Source organism: Homo sapiens, chromosome 4, assembly GCF_000001405.40.
Source record: "Homo sapiens chromosome 4, GRCh38.p14 Primary Assembly".
NCBI lineage: Eukaryota > Metazoa > Chordata > Mammalia > Primates > Hominidae > Homo > Homo sapiens.
The window spans coordinates 27,274,681-27,287,134 of NC_000004.12; the positions used below are offsets into that span (position 1 = coordinate 27,274,681).

The 12,454-nt window shown below is 38.9% G+C and overlaps 1 long non-coding RNA gene across 1 annotated transcript in view, besides 1 other annotated feature; it reads left to right on the forward strand.

Moving 5' to 3' along the window:
• Positions 1 to 7,545, forward strand: part of LINC02261 (long intergenic non-protein coding RNA 2261) — a 64,747-nt gene extending 57,202 nt beyond the window's left edge. The window contains exons 4-6 of the long non-coding RNA NR_125921.1: positions 2,185 to 2,613; positions 3,493 to 3,549; positions 5,590 to 7,545. This is a non-coding gene — a long non-coding RNA (long intergenic non-protein coding RNA 2261). The remainder of the gene's footprint in view (positions 1 to 2,184; positions 2,614 to 3,492; positions 3,550 to 5,589) is intronic.
• Positions 4,034 to 4,234: a silencer, noted in NCBI's record as "peak5014 fragment used in MPRA reporter construct". NCBI's record gives its function as "represses an SCP1 promoter by STARR-seq MPRAs in K562 erythroleukemia cells {active_cell/tissue: K562}" and the evidence as "EXISTENCE:reporter gene assay evidence [ECO:0000049][PMID:32103011]".
• Positions 7,546 to 12,454: the final 4,909 nt, after the last annotated feature.

The window sequence follows — 12,454 nt, forward strand, 5'->3', positions numbered from 1 at the left end:
GCCATTAGCCTCATTGCCCTTGTGAGATCTGAACTTTTCATGGAGAGTTGCCTGCAGGTGGCTCATGGATTGTTTGGTAGGAAGATAACTGTGATGAGACTTCATGAGGCTATCAAAAATCTGGGGGCAGTGGGGGTGGGGGGAATTCACTTTTTTTCTGTGGCCTGGGACACACATAAGAGTCTTAAAATATAGGAGGGAGGTCATTACGCTTAGAGAGTCAGGGACATTATGGAAAGGAAAGCCCAAGCTTTATGCTTAGGTAGGACTAGATGTGAAGGGACCCTGTCTTGTAACATGGAAAACGATTTAAGTTCTCACTGGATATTTATTTTTAACAGTGATTTTGGTTAAAAAAATCAAAATCAAGACTCAACCTGGTGGTTTTCTAATGGTGGGATTAGAGGCAGGGGGATAATTGGTTTCAAAAAGGCATCCTGAACTTGTTTTATATTAAACTCAGTGGTTTCTACCTCTTTGCATAATTTTAGGATGCATCTTATTTCTGGGCATCTCATTTCTGGGAAGTGAGATGTGTGCTTCACCACTGTGTGTTGCCAAAGAACAGGTTAGATCAAGTGTGTCCACTGACTGAGCAGTGCGAATGGGCTTGGGGAGTAGGATTGAATAAGGCACAAGATAAGCACAAAGATAGGATGTTGTTAAAGCATTAGGACACAGACCTTGGCAAAGCTATTACAACTTTAAGATTGTTCTGTCGTCTTCTCTAGTTTCGTCTTCTTGGAGATTTGGGGCCTCTGTGTGGACTGCAATAAAACAAGTTGCTGAAACATTGTGTGAGAACACCCTGGCCCTTGCTTCACTTTAGGCAGGTTTCAGACAATGTCGGTTAGCTTCCTTTTACTCCATGTACCTGCATAGAAGGGAACCGATGGTGAATTGGTGATTTTAAAGTACTGGTGGTGAGAAAGGAAGAGAATACTGATTAGAATTTTAAAAAATGTTTTAATTTTTACTTTTATAAATACAGGGAGTACACGTGCAAGTTTGTTACATGGACTAGAAAAATACTAATGAGTAAAAATCGACAGCCATTTGAAGTTAGGGTCAGCCCCAGGGATGTGTCTTAGAGTGGTTATTAGGTGGCTCTGTCATGCATTGCTTATTTTACTTGTCTATCTGACTAGGCTGCAAGTGCTATGAAGTTAGGGCTGATAGTTTTGTTTAGCTTTGTTTTGTTTTTCCACCTGTGTGCTTAGAACTGGTCAAAAATGCTTCCAGATGAGTGGATCCAGCCTTTGGAAAATATTTTCCTCTTCATGAAAGGCCAGTCTATATATGGCCACTCATGCCTCTGTTCTGATCATCATCTTTCTGTCCAGTTCCCAAGAGGAGTCAGTTTCATGAGTTTTGGGGCCAGGGGCTGCAGAAAATTGTAAAGACTTCAAGAGAGCCAACTCCTTGTTCCCTTCAGCATGTCAACAAGGCAGTGTCAGAGAGCTACTCATTCCAGGTGCTGCTACTATGACAGAGAACCCTGGACCACTCCTACTGATGTTGACTTACAGAGGAACTAGTTGGTTGGCCTTGTGGTTAATTTGTTCTCCATCTGGGGCAGGCTGTATAGCCTGTATATCCAACTTCATCTCACAGGAGACAAATAGACTGGACCTATCCTTGCAAGTGTATTGAGTGGGTCAGATGTTTAGCAAGATCCTTATGACTCTAATCTCTGGTAGATTTATTATCTGAGTCTTACAACCCCTTGCTGTCTTGAAGACTATAATCTATATAATGTGTGGTGAGTAAAACATCTAGCCAGAATGCCATTCCTAACGTGTTATTGGCCTGTAACTCTGCCAAGAAGGCTCAGAAAGTCATAAATCTGATGTGAATTTATAGTGGCAGACTTAAGTGTAGTCAATGACAAGAGAGTCCTGTTATTTTACTGACAGGGGATCACCAACACACTGAGACTTACACATCTGGTCTATTATGAGTTAAAAGTAACACTGAATTTAAATTGCTTTTAACACAGGATATATCTAAACATTCACTGTGTATTTATTTATCTCTGCAGTTCAGAGACTTTTCTGACCAAAGTCTTTACATTTCTGTGGTAACAGCTTATTCTTTATCAGTAATGATCTTTCTGGGGCCATTTGATTTGACTGTGCAGTGACACATGATATTTGGATAAACCAGGATTTATTTCCTCTTTAGCTCTGCACATGGAGTTTGGTGACACGTTTACAAGAGATCACCTGTGATGAGGACAAAGGTCGGTGGAAAGCTGTTCAAACAGAGAGACTTGGCCTTGAGGAGCCCATTTGAACCTCAACTCTTGACCTGTTCATTGACTGTGTTGGCTAATTGGGTCTTCAGTGCAAAGCAAGAAACAATGCTCAGCTTTGCTAACTGTCTGTGTAGCCAGAACATGAAAATCAATCTACCGATGACCAAAAGGGCATAGCAAACAACATCCCTGTGGAGTTGGGTGTTTTTGGCCTTGGCGTTCCACAGATGTGACCTGAGAATTCACACAACTTACATGAAGATGCAATTCATATAATTAATATGTTCACTGCATGAAGATTTTATTCACCATAAGTTGGGATGGTGAGAGACGGACAGAAAACACAGAAGCCCGAGGTAAGTAGAAATGTGACCCATGAAAGCAGTTTGGGTTCAGCTGAAAAGATTTTGCACATTCTGATATCATTGAATTGTATTCTTTTTTTTTCCCCCATCAGTGAGATGTGAAGGATTTTACAGCTTGTGAAGGAAAATAAATCATATGAACACAAAACAAAAAAAATCCACCTCTCTTTGGATACATTCCTTGGTTTAACTCCAAAGAAGTAGCTTGTGTGGCTTCTCCTAAAATGTGTGAAATACCACCTGGCTGGGTCCCAGGGAAAAAACCAACTTGGGGGTCCCTGAGTGCTGAAGTCTCCTGGCAGCTCAATCCTTGTTAGTATTTGAGATAAATAAAACAATTGATCTTATCTGAAAACTGCATAGAAAGTAAGAATGTTTTTATTACATTGAAAATGAAAAAAAAAAGCTCTTGACTTTTTTTTTTTTTGATGGAGTCTCGCTCTGTCACCCAGGCTGGAGTGCAGTGGCGTGATCTCAGCTCACTGCAACCTCCATCTCCTAGGTTCACGCCATTCTCCTGCCTCAGCCTCCTGAGTAGCTGGGACTACAGGCGCCCGCCACCATGCCCAGTTAATTTTTTGTATTTTTAGTAGAGACAGGGTTTCACCGTGTTAGCCAGGATGGTCTCGATCTCCTGACCTCGTGATCCACCCGCCTCGCACTCCCAAAGTGCTGGGAGCTTTTGACTTTTTTAAAAAACTTAATGCTGTCAGATCCAAAGGAAGTTAAATAAGCATGCATTTGGATTTAGAATCTTGATTAAAGAAATATCTTGGAAATGAGCCCCATAGCACAGGACCCTCTTCGGTAGAATTTATTAGAAAGATCCCAAGTGGCAAACATCATTTTATTTTCTCTTTCTCATTTAAGGTGGGAAGCTCTTTGCTCTCTTTTAAGATGCTTACTGCTGAAGTAAGTACAAAACAGGTAAGCACATTTTAATCAGGGGATATTTTCAAGGCTTGCAACAGTAAGTTACATTGGATCTATCTAGGAAAGCTTTTTAAAAATCCCCAAACCTATCTCACGTACTTTATTTTTAACAAAGGAAGGGAAGAGATAAAAGAAAATAAAGAAGGAATAAATCGAGTATAATGTGGCAGATGCCTTTCTCACTGCCTATAATTGTGTAAAGAAACAATACAATGCAGTAAAACTCGGCGGATTTTATTTGGTTTATTAGCTCCAACTGCATCTCGAGCTGTCTCACTGTCCCAATTTTAGACAATACATGACATCATAATTGCTTCTGGCATTTTACAGTAATAGATACTGGTGAGAGTTGTCTGAGTTGGTTTTTTTTCTTGCTTCCCCTCACTTTATGAGTACTTCTTTGGAAAACAGCAACCTCTCATTTGCGGCGCATGCACATTTTGGCTAAGATAGTTCTTCACTACGCTGCCTGCAAAGATATTCTGCTCTATTTAAGTTCGAAGGCAGCTTTCTTCAATCCACCAAACAGACCCTTAGGTTCTCCCAGTGATGCCTATCAGCTTACTCAGTGTGGTACCCCTGTCCAGGGTGCTGAACTGGGGAGATTAGCCAAATTAACCAAAACCAGGGCAAAAATCATTCTCAGGAAATCCAGATTCCTAAAGTAAAACCTTGGGTGACTTAATAGTATTTATATTCCACAATATATGTAGAGATTTTCTTTTGCTCTGCATGCATGACCTCTGTTATGTGCTGAAGACCCAGCTAACAAACCAGTAACAGAGAGGTGGCTAAATGAAGTCACCAAGGCAAATGTGAGTTGAAAATTGACCCAAGCACTGGATGACAAGGACATCTTTATAAATATATGAAGCTGATGCAGGCTTTGACTGCCATGCAGCAGATTAGCATTGTTAAACTGTGTCACAGTCCAAACAGTGCCTGGCTAGAATATTTATTATGTTACTTAATCTTGCTGAGCAAACAGACTATATTTATCAGCACAGGGAAGGAGCTCCCCTTTCAAGGGCCAATTTGTCCAGAAAAGTATGAGATAAACATACATTGTTACAGATGGCAGTGTTAGGGGAGATGATTTTAAGTCTCACTTTTATAGGTGAGGGCACGGAGAACCAGAGAAGGTAAGTGACTTTCCCAAGGTCACATAGCTATTATGTGGTAGTGCTGGGACTAAGTTTTTAGTCTTCTGATACCTTGAAAATTGTTCTTCCCATTGAGACAAGCACCCTCATAGCTGGAGAGCAGCCTGCAAACCTATGAACAGTTTCTGCTTTCCTGCAGAGTCACATGGTGATAGTGGTCCTGAGCAACTTTATGTTTTCTCTCTGATATCCCTTAACACTGGCCTTTGGGAGGAATAAGACATATTTCTCCAGGCCTCCTGCTGCCTGAGCCATGATTGGCATACTGTGACATGACTTTCCTATTACTACATTAAAGTGCCTTACAGGCTCATTCCTTCAAGATTCTGCCATCACTTATGACTGAAAATGATGAGGACATAAATAGTTATATATTGCAATGTATGGCAAGAGAGCCAACTGGAAGTAGACACCGTTCTGAAGCTCCCAAACTCTCTATATCTATTGTATGTTTCTTAGCATTTTCTATTTTGAATTATCATGTTTTCATGTAGTATTGTTCTTTATTGTATTGTAAATGTTCAAGAGTGCCATTATTACCTCTGTTTTACAGATGAGTAAACCAGGAGTTCAAAAGACTTGTCTAAGATAAATGAAAACTAACTAACTAACTAGCAGTGAAACAGTGATATCTAGTTTCTATTCTATTCTTATTTCCCTTACCACATAGTTCCATCTCCCTACTATACCTGGCACATAGATAAGAATTAATACACCTATTTTGAATGAATGAGGCCAAATCTGACTTCCACATGCCTTCATTTTCATAATCAGTGATACTTTAATCTCAGGAGTAATGGAATGAGCTTAGCAGCTTCTCCCACAAACCTGCTTTCCAAGCTTTGTTTATTCTTCTTCTTATTTTTTTTAGACGGAGTCTAGCACTGTCACCCAGGCTGGAGTGCAGTGGCGGCATCTCAGCTCACTGTAAGCTCCACCTACCAGGTTCACGCCGTTCTCCTGCCTCAGTTTCCCGAGTAGCTGGGACTACAGGTGCCTGCCACCACACCCGGCTAATTTTTTTGTATTTTTAGTAGAGATGGGGTTTCACCGTGTTAGCCAGGATGGTCTCCATCTCCTGACCTTGTGATCCGCCCTCCTCTGCCTCCCAAAGTGCTGGGATTACAGGTGTGAGCCACTGCACCTGGCCTGTTTCTAATTTTATGAGGAGAATACCCTACCTATCTTTCTTCTCAAAGCAAGTCATTTAAGTTCCAGGAAATTATCCCTTAAGTCTGGCTTTTCTGTGTGTCTCAGTTTCCATTCCTCTCTCCCTCCTGCTACTGTACTAGATCAGGTCCCCATTTTCTCTGATCTGCACTAAAATAATGAACTTCTTATGGACTCTCTTCCTGTGGATTCACCTCTCCTCCAGTGTGGTCCTCACAGAGCTGAAGGTTCTAATTCACAAATCTGATTACATCACCCTCCACTTCAGAACTCCCCATTTTTAAGGTCATAATCTTAACTCATGTACATGGCATGCCATGCCCTTCATGAACTGGCCACTCCTTGCTTTTGTAGAGTTATCTATTGCCACTCTTTACTTCTTACTCCACACTCTACTCTACCATTATTGAACTACTTGTCATTTTGCCCGATGGTCTTTCAGACTTCCAAGTCTTTGCATGTGGCATTCCCTGGAATATCCTCCTGCCTTGACAAAGTTGTACCTACATATATGATATTGTGAAAACACGTAACCAGTTTTTCTACCATTATAGCTCACATTCTTTTGACAATGTCAAAATTGTATTTTAAAAGTGGATTCTGGGACTTTTGCTTCTGGCAAATAAGATATCACTCATACTTACTAAAATGGTTAAAATCAAGAACATCGACTATTCCAAGTGTTGGTAAAAACAGAGAGGAAATGGAACTCCCATACATTGCTGGAGGAAATGCCAAGTTGGTGTAACAACTTTGGCACACAGTTTGGCACTTTCTTTAAAAGCTACACGTGTCTACTACATGACCCAGCCCTTCTGTCCCTTGGTATTTATCCAAGAGAAATGAAAGCACATACCCATACTAAGGCTGCTACGCCAATGTTTGTAGCAGCTTTATTTGTTATAGCCCCAAACTGGAAACAACACAAATGTCCATCAACGGGTAAATGAATAAACAAATTGTCGTATATCCATGCAGCACAATACTACCCAGCAATAAAAGGAATGCACTATCGACACACTTTACAATGTGAAATAGTATCAAAATAATTATGGTGAATGATAGAAGCCAGATCAAAAAACAGTGCGTATTGTATGGTTCCATTTATATATACAGAAGAATCTCTGTATCTGAGGATTCTGCATTTGTGGATTCAATCAACTACAGATAAAAAATATTTGAAAAAATTTTAAAATGCAACATAAAAATAATACAATGCAGTATAACAACTATTTATATAGCATTTATAATGCATCAGGTATTATCAATAATCTAGAGATGATTTAAAGTATAAAAGAGAATGTGGGAAAGTTGTTCAAATACTGCACAATTTTACATAAGGGACTTGAGCGTCCATAGATTTTGATATCCACAGGAATGTCCTGGAAAAAAATCCCTGAGGATACTTGAGGGGACAACAGTAAATCCAGTAAATCCAGGGAATATAACCTAATGCATAGTGACAGAGAGCAGATGAAAGATTACTTGGGATGAGGGTGTCATGAAGAGGGGATGGGAAGGAAAGGGGGGAATGGATTGAAAATGGGCATGAGAAAACTTATGGTTGGGGTGATGCTTTTTTATTATGTTAATTGTGGTGATGCTTTAATAGGTATATACATATGTACAAACATATTAAATTCTTCATTTAAAATGTATGTAGTTTATTGTATGTCCTTTGTCCTCAGTAAAACTGTTTTGAAAAACAAATCCTAAAACTTACAAATAATGATTTTTTAGTTGTGAGAATTTCAGGCATTTTGGTGGGTGCCATGATCCTGTTCGGAGCATCTTTTTGTTATCCCTTGTCTATCAATATGACCTAAGAGTAAGGCTTGTCCCAACTATAGCCATTGGCCATTCCTAGTAAAGTATTTTCAGGACTATTTTTCACTTCTGAAAATAAGAAAAGTAGAACATCTTGCTGAAAAAATGTAAGAAATATCAGACAGCATCATCTGGGGTTCTCTTCTTGTATTAGTTAGGGTAGGCAAACTGTTTCAGCAAAAATACCCAAAACATCAATGACTCAATACAAAGGAAATTATTTCTTACTTTCATGCAGGCCCTATGGTGGTGCTCCACATGATCATTCAGGGATCTTTATCATTTCTGCCCATTGCTCCACCATCCCCTAAGGCCTTAATCTCCTCTCTTGTATCTTGTCAACAGGCAAAGAAAGAATGTGTGAAAAATGAACTTGAAGGTTTAACATGGTCAAAAGCTAGAAGTAGTGGGTCTCATTTCTGCCCATGTATTCACATTTTATTGGACAGAACCCACCCTCAAGATGACACCCAACACCAACGGGAATGAAGGGAATGCATTTTGTAGCCAACCTTCCTGTCTCCATTACAGTCCTCAATACCTACTCTCATTTCAGGTGTTTCTTAATGATCCAGCACTAACTTTTGACAGATATACGCCTTCATTATTTAATAATTTTTTTGTGTGTGTACTTCCTATGTGAGAATACACATCAAACCTGGTTCTGTATTTATTGTAGTGTCATAAAGGGATACAATGTACATAAGAGAAAGAGATAAGAGAAAGAGATATTAAAAAGATAAATTTCTAACTAATTATAATTGAGGTAGATACTACAAAGAGAAAGAGCAGACAAAGGACCCATGGTCTTTCTATGAAAAACTGAACATTCATCCATTCATTTCAACAAATTGAACTCAGTGTGGAGCACTGAGCTGCCATGGTACAGAAGTCCAATCCTGTGAGTTTCAGTGACCCCTGCACTTCCGGAGTTCACAATGAGTTGAGAAAATAAAACACCTATGCAAGGAACTCTATCAAAAGGCCCTTTAGAAGTACCATAAGAATTTGGAGTGGAGAACAACCAGTTATCCAAAAGAACTGTTTTCTCTTTCCTCTGGTAAGAAACTGCATTTCCTATGCTTCCATGTAGTTGGGTGCGGCCGTGAGTGAAATGTGAGCAGAACTGTTATATTCAAGCTCTGCTTCTCTTGCTTAAAAGAAAGTGATTTCCATGGATTTATGCTATTTCCTCTTACCTGAAGTTTTTATGGATATATTTGTGGCCCAGCTTCAACCGTGTGGAAGACAATGCCCCAGAAGATGGCAGAGCCACAAGATGGAGGGAATCTGGGTCTCCATATGACTGGATTGAGCAGAGCTGCTTTCCCAATCTGGATTCCTCATTTCAGGAATCTTACACAGAAAGCCATAAACTTTCATCTTGTTCCTGTCACAATATTTCTGAGTCTTTTTTGTTGTTGTTGTTATAAGAGCTTAGTCTTTTCTAAGTCTCTGTGAGAAATAAAATAAAAACAGAGTGATTCTTAGAGAAGAGCGATCCCCTCTGGCTGCAGTGACCAGGAGATGCTTCATGGAGAAGGTGGCATTTAGGTTTAACATTTTTTAATGGGTAGAAGAAAGGGGACTTTAATAGAGGGATGAGCCTAAGGAAAGGGCTGGGACTAGGAAAGTAGAAATTAACCACAGAATTGCATCATCACACATAGCTCTGGCTAGTTATCTCTTCTCCTTCCTCCTGCCATACAGATGTAGAGTTCTCTAATTTTAGAAGTTCTTTTTCTGTTAATTCTCGTCTAAAGACGTTTAATATCCCATAGGGTTGGCAACATACGTAAAATTATTTTTAAAACTTTTTGGTGAAATTTGCCATTATAATTAGTCTCTTTATAATACAACTCATAATCCCTGTTATATCACTGCAGTGAAATGAGGATAATTGAAATAATTAGTTGTATGATTCAGCTACAGTGTTATGGTGGCCTGGGTAATCTGGAGTGCTTAGAATTTGAGGTATAGGCCAGGCCAGTGGCTCACACCTGTAATCCCAGCACTTTGGGAGGCTGAGGCAGGTGGATCACAAGGTCAGGAGTTCGAGACCAGCCTGGCCCACATAGTGAAACCCAGTGTTTACTAAAAATACAAAAATTAACCGAGTGTGGTGGCTTGTGCCTGTAGTCCCATCTACTTGGGAAGCTGAGGCGGGAGAATCACTTGAACCTGGGACGCAGAGGTTGCAGTGAGCCGAGACCATACCATTGCACTCCAGCCTGGGTCACAGAGGAAGACTCTGTCTCAAAAAAAAAAAAGAGAATTTGAGGTATAAGTGTTCTGAACATCTCCCCTTTGCCTACTTGTATCTACTTTTTGAGGGTCAGTGAGTACAACTAACACTTCCTTTTAAATATATTCCCCACCTCTTATGCTCTTCTCCTAACATGAACTGCAAGATTCTAGTATATTTGGGCTTATGACCATGATAGCTTGCTCTATAGTTTAGAAAGTGCTTGTTATATACATTATGTCATTCTAATTTAGATAACTGTAAGGTAGATTCTGGGCTGGTATTATCCCCCTTTTAGATGAGGAAAACCAAGGTCCAAGAAAGGCGTTCGAATTTTTTGCTGGAAGTTTTGCTTATAGGTAATTGTTAGTCCAGGAGTCAAGCTCATGCTTTCTTATTCTAACTCTAGTGCTTTAAGAGATCTGACCTCTTCTGGCAATTTGTTCCTAGGTGACTTTGTCTGGCAATGTCTCTACTGCAATGTAGAGAAGAAAGTGTTGGTCCTGGAGCCATATGTGTGGGGCTAAATTTTAGTGTGTCACATCCTAGCTGTGTGACCATGGGCAAGTTAGTTAATCACCATGTGCTGTAGAGTTTTTATCTACAAAATGGGAATAAGCATATTACCAACCTGATAGTATTTGGGGTGGATTAACTGATATATGTAACATGCTTACTAGGTGTTGGTTCCAAATGTTATTATTATTATTCTGCTCTATTTTAACAATCTAAGTTTTGAAAACTCAAGACAAAATCTATTCAACTTTTTTGTTGCAAATTCCAAATCAGACCCCATCAGGAATTCCAGGTTCTCTAGGTTCCAATGTTCTCTCATGAAAGAAGAACTGCTAGAGAGATTCCAGTTCCTGTAGGACGTCAATTAATTGGAACTCAATGACCCAAAGCCCTAAATTAACTAAAATTTCTTTCTTTTGCTTTGTTTTTAGGAGAACCAAAAAACTTGAGGCAGTTGACATTCATTCATTCAGTTATTATTTAATGAACTCTTGCTTTGTGGAACATATTCTGTTGTGTGCTGTGAGGGTCACAAAAGTGAACCAGATGCTTAGTCTGCCCTCAAGCTATTTGCAATTTAGTAGCTAAGATAGGACATGTACACATAAGCTTAATAGAATGCATAGATAAAAGATAAAGGAGGGGATGTGAGTATTTTTTTTTAAATTGCAGGCAATGGGAATTTAGCAGGAATTACTTTTTTCAATCAAGGTAGATCACAGGCTCGGTGGATTTGGGGTTCTATCTTCTACTGCCCTGTACAATAAAACCAATGTTAGGAACGCTATCTCTGAGGGCCTGCAGGACCCTCACTTATTGCAGCCAAACTCATGTATGATTTACTAGACTGATACAGAAAAGGTTTTTGATCATATAAATGAAACATATATTAAGCAAAATAATGAAAAGATATTTATTCCCACACTACTCAAAAATCACACCACCAGAATATTCTAATCCTATTAGCTATGCACCTCCTAGACCTCACTAGAGGCCAAACACATATTTGGTGTCTTCAGAAGTTCTCAGTATTCAGAATATATTAGATGTTATACAACGCACTGAATGTATCCTGGAGATTTTCAAGGGGGAGTTTGCAGAATACACTTGCTGTTTGATTAGACAGATTGGTTTTGAAAAAAGAGAGTTTTGATTAGACAGATTGTTTTTTAAAAAGAGAGAGAAAGAAAATAGAAATAATAAATAAGAATAAATACGTTTAAAATCCTTGTTATATCATTACAATAATTCTAAAAGCTGGGGCAATGTTACCATCCCATTTTATAGCTTAAAAAACTGAAGCACATGAAAATCAGGTAACATTCCATATGTCACACAGTTAATATGTATTGGGGCCAGGATTCTAGCTAATTCTAGTAGTATTCAGAGCAAGTTTGCTTAAAAGTATATTATACTCCTAGTAGCGTAGTACAAAAATTAGCAAAGAAAATGAACAGGCAATTCACAGGTAAGAAAATATGTTGACCAGTAGATATATGAAAGAATATTCAGCTTTTTTAATTAATCAGAAAAGTGCAAGAGTTTTTTTAAAGATAATAGTTTTAGACTTAAGTGCCATATACTATCTGTAGCAGCTACTCAATTCTGTTGTTGAAACAAGAAAGCAACCATAGAAAATACATTAAAAAATGAATGTAGCTGAGTGCCAGTAAAACTTTATTTACAAAAACAGGTGGTGGGCCAGTTTTGACCAGCAGGCTGTGTAGTCTTCTGACCTCTGCATTATGAGATTTTATGAATATAATATAAATATAAAAAAGAATGAATATGTGGGAATGTAGGAATATTCTAGATATAGTATTAAGGGAAAAGATGCAAGTTTCAGGGTAATGTGTATGGTACGTCTCAATTGTAAACAGCAGTATGGCAAAATATATATGACAGTTGTATGTTGCAGCCTGTATATGTATGTTGAAAATATCTACATAATTTGGTAAGCGCTGGCATGGACCAAGTG